Source organism: Homo sapiens, chromosome 14 (assembly GCF_000001405.40).
Source record: "Homo sapiens chromosome 14, GRCh38.p14 Primary Assembly".
Taxonomy (NCBI): Eukaryota; Metazoa; Chordata; class Mammalia; order Primates; family Hominidae; genus Homo; species Homo sapiens.
In genome coordinates this window covers 37,992,812-37,996,133 of record NC_000014.9, presented here as the reverse complement: position 1 = coordinate 37,996,133, position 3,322 = coordinate 37,992,812, and the positions used below count along the sequence as shown (strand labels likewise).

Sequence of the window (3,322 nt, the reverse complement as noted above, 5' to 3'; positions counted from 1 at the left end):
TCAATTAGGCAGGCCTTAATGTAGACTATATTCTTTCAGTAATAATGATATACGTTCATCCATTATAACAAATGTACCACTGTGGTGAAGGATGTTGGTAACATAAGAGTCTATGCATGTGTGGGGGGAGTGGATACATGGAAATTTCTAAAACTTCCTCTCAATTTTGCTGTGAACCTAAAACTACTCTGAAAATTAAAGTCTACTTTAAAATTTTAAAAGGTCCTCTAACTGCACAAAATCCATTTGTTACTTGAAACCTATGAACTGCTTCTTAGGTCATGTTTCGGAACTTTGTGAGGGCCTCAAGGGCAAGGACTATATTTTACTCAGTTGTGTGTTTGTGTGACGTTATAAGTTGAATTGTGTCCCCAAAAATTCATATGTTGAAATCCTAACTCCTAGTAACCTCAGAATGTGACCTTATTTAGAAACAGGGTCATTGCAGATGTAATTAGTTAAAATAAAGTTATTCTGGAGTAGGTTAGGCCTATAAGGATACCTAATCCAATAGAACTGTTGTAATTTCTTAGAACAAAGGGCTATTTGGACACATACACACACACAGGGAAAATTTCATGTGGAAATTAAGTTGTGGGCACCAAGGCCCCCTAAAGGTTTGCTGAAAAAATCACTGACATGAGGCAGATTGATTAATAAGAGAAAAGGCACATGAATTTAACGGTATACATGGGAGCTTTCAGAATCAAGACTCAATTCCCCAACAAGTTACAGAAGCTTATATATTATTTTGAGAATATAGACAGAATGAGAAAAAGCATGGCCAAAAACCCAAAACCAGGTTCTGTTGGTAAACCAGGTTTTAGTGGCAAGACATGTTATGGGAGGGAGAAAGGAAGAGGCTTGTCCAGCGAAGGTGGTCTTGTTATGTAGATGAAGCCTCACAGGTAGTAGCCCTCAGGTAGAATAGTTGGAAAACATTTTTTTCAGGCCTTAAAAGGTGTCATCGTCTCAGTTAATCTTTCCTAGATCCTGGGAAGGCCTAGAAAGGGAAGCCTTGGCTGCATTAACGAGTGTTTCTACAGATGCAAATTTCCCCCACAAAAGACAGCATTGCAGGGCAATTTCAGTCAGCTGGTACTGTGGCAGCCATTTTGAAATATATCAAAGAAATATATTTTGAGGTAAACTATTTTGATTTCCTACAAAGTCAGAGATCAAGGTGATGCAGCAGAAGCCAAGGAATGCCAAACATTGCCAGCAAATCATCAGAAACTATCAGAAAATAGGCAAAGAGCCTATTTCTCCTTCCGCCCTTGGAAGGAGCCAACCTTGCTGACAACTTGATCTTGGACTTCCAGCCTCTAGAACTATAAGGCAATAAATTCATGTTGTTCAAGCCATTCTGTTAGTGGCACTTTGTGACAGCAGCCCTGAAGAACTAACTCAGGTGATGTTAGCAGCAGTGAACCCATATGGGTCTGCAGAAACCTCAATTCTTGCCTCCTTAGAAGAAAGAATTTGACTGAGGGGCATAAGGCAGAGTGAGAGACCAAGGCAAGTTTTAGATCAGAGTGAAAGTTTATTAAAAAGTTTTAGAGGCCAGGCGTGGTGGCTCACGCCTGTTATGCCAGCACTTTGGGAGGCCGAGGAGGGCAGATCACGAGGTCAGGAGATCAAGACCATCCTGGCCAACTTGGTGAAACCCCGTCTCTACTAAAAATACAAAAATTAGCTGGGTGTGGTGGCGTGTACCTGTAATCCCAGCTACTCGGGAGGCTGAGGCAGGAGTATTGCTTGAACCAGGGAGTCGGAGGTTGCAGTGAACTGAGAGATCCTGCCACAGCACTCCAGCCAGGCTACAGAGCAAGACTCCATCTCAAAAAAAAAAAAAAAAAAAAAAAATTTAGAGCAGGAGTGAAAGGAAGTAAAGTATGCTTGGAAGAGGGACAAGTGGGCGACTTGAGACACTCAAGTGCATAGTTTGAACTTTGACTTGGGGTTTTATATGTTGGCATGCTTTTGGGGGGTCTGTTTCTCTTCTACCCTGATTCTTCCCTTGGGATGGGCTGTCCACATGTGCAGTGGCCTACCAGCACTTGGGAGGGGCCAAGTGGATTTACTGATGTTGTACGCTTGCTCACTTGAGGCATTTTTCCCTTACTTGAGGCAGTTTTTCCCTGTTCCTGGAGGAAGGTCATATATCACTTAAACTCTAACATTTTGCCTTAATGTGCATGCTTGAGTCCACTCACTCAGCTCCTGAGATCTTATTGGGAAGCTGCTGATTACCAGTTTCGGGGTTTTCTTTCTGTCTATTGGGAATCTGCCTTTCCCTGGCATGGGCTGTGACCAATTATTATGTTAGAGAGATATTTTTACAACCACCTGACTGTCACCTGATGGTTTCATGACACCTCTCTCCTGCCCCGCTCATGTCTGACTAGCTACCTACTGTAACAGTGACAAGTACAAAGTATAGTCATTTATTTCACAAATTCAACAAATATTTACAAAATGTCCTTATTCAGTGCTATGGGAAGGGAATAGGGTAAAGATCCTGTTCTCATATAGGTGACATTCTAGTAAAGGAGACAGAAAATAATTAATTAATTAATGTAAAATATAATTTATCTTCATTTTCTAGAGAAAATTGGGGCTCAGAAAGACTTTTCCAAAATATAAACATCATGTCTTATTCACAAGCACAAAAAAGAATCCCAGAAGGCCCACTCCCACTGGGGTGCCACTATATGTCTTGCCAAGGCTAAAGGTACCATTTCCAATTTGTGTGTTGCTAAGAAACATGAAATTATCTTTCCTGGATCTTACTTGTCAAAAAATATGAGATCTTGGCAGAATGGAAGCACAGGATTTGAAGTCAGGAAACCAAAACTGTATTTTTGTTTTGCTCCTTGTGCAATCCTGGATACATTAATTTATATACCTGAGTCTCTGTTTTCTGCCTTGCAATATACCTATTCCATGAGATTATTGTGCAGAATAAATGGGACAAAGAAAAAAACAATCAGGACTTATTTACTACTTCTGAAGTGTTTCTTGGTTGAAACTCAAAGGTCCTAGACTTCTCTCACATAAATTTATACTGTTTTTTGTTTTGTTTGGGAGGGGTTGTTTGTTTTGTTTTGTATTTAGATGCCTAATATATGTATCTACTCAGAGATTCTGGGCTTGAAACCACTTTTGGTATCAAGGCAGGAAGTTGTTGTTCTTTATATTCAGTGAAATGTATGCTAAAATACCAACTATCCCTGTGTTCCCACTCCTCTCCCCAACACACACACACACATAAATAGGTAACTGGGGCTAACACCCCTTTTTTCTTGGAGGATGGCCCATG

The 3,322-nt window shown here is 40.5% G+C and overlaps 1 annotated feature.

Annotated features, from left to right (window-relative positions):
* Positions 743-1,416: an enhancer, noted in NCBI's record as "NANOG-H3K27ac-H3K4me1 hESC enhancer chr14:38463923-38464596 (GRCh37/hg19 assembly coordinates)". NCBI's record gives its function as "activates a minimal SCP1, AML or CMV promoter by ChIP-STARR-seq in naive H9 embryonic stem cells {active_cell/tissue: H9 hESC(naive)}" and the evidence as "EXISTENCE:reporter gene assay evidence [ECO:0000049][PMID:30033119]".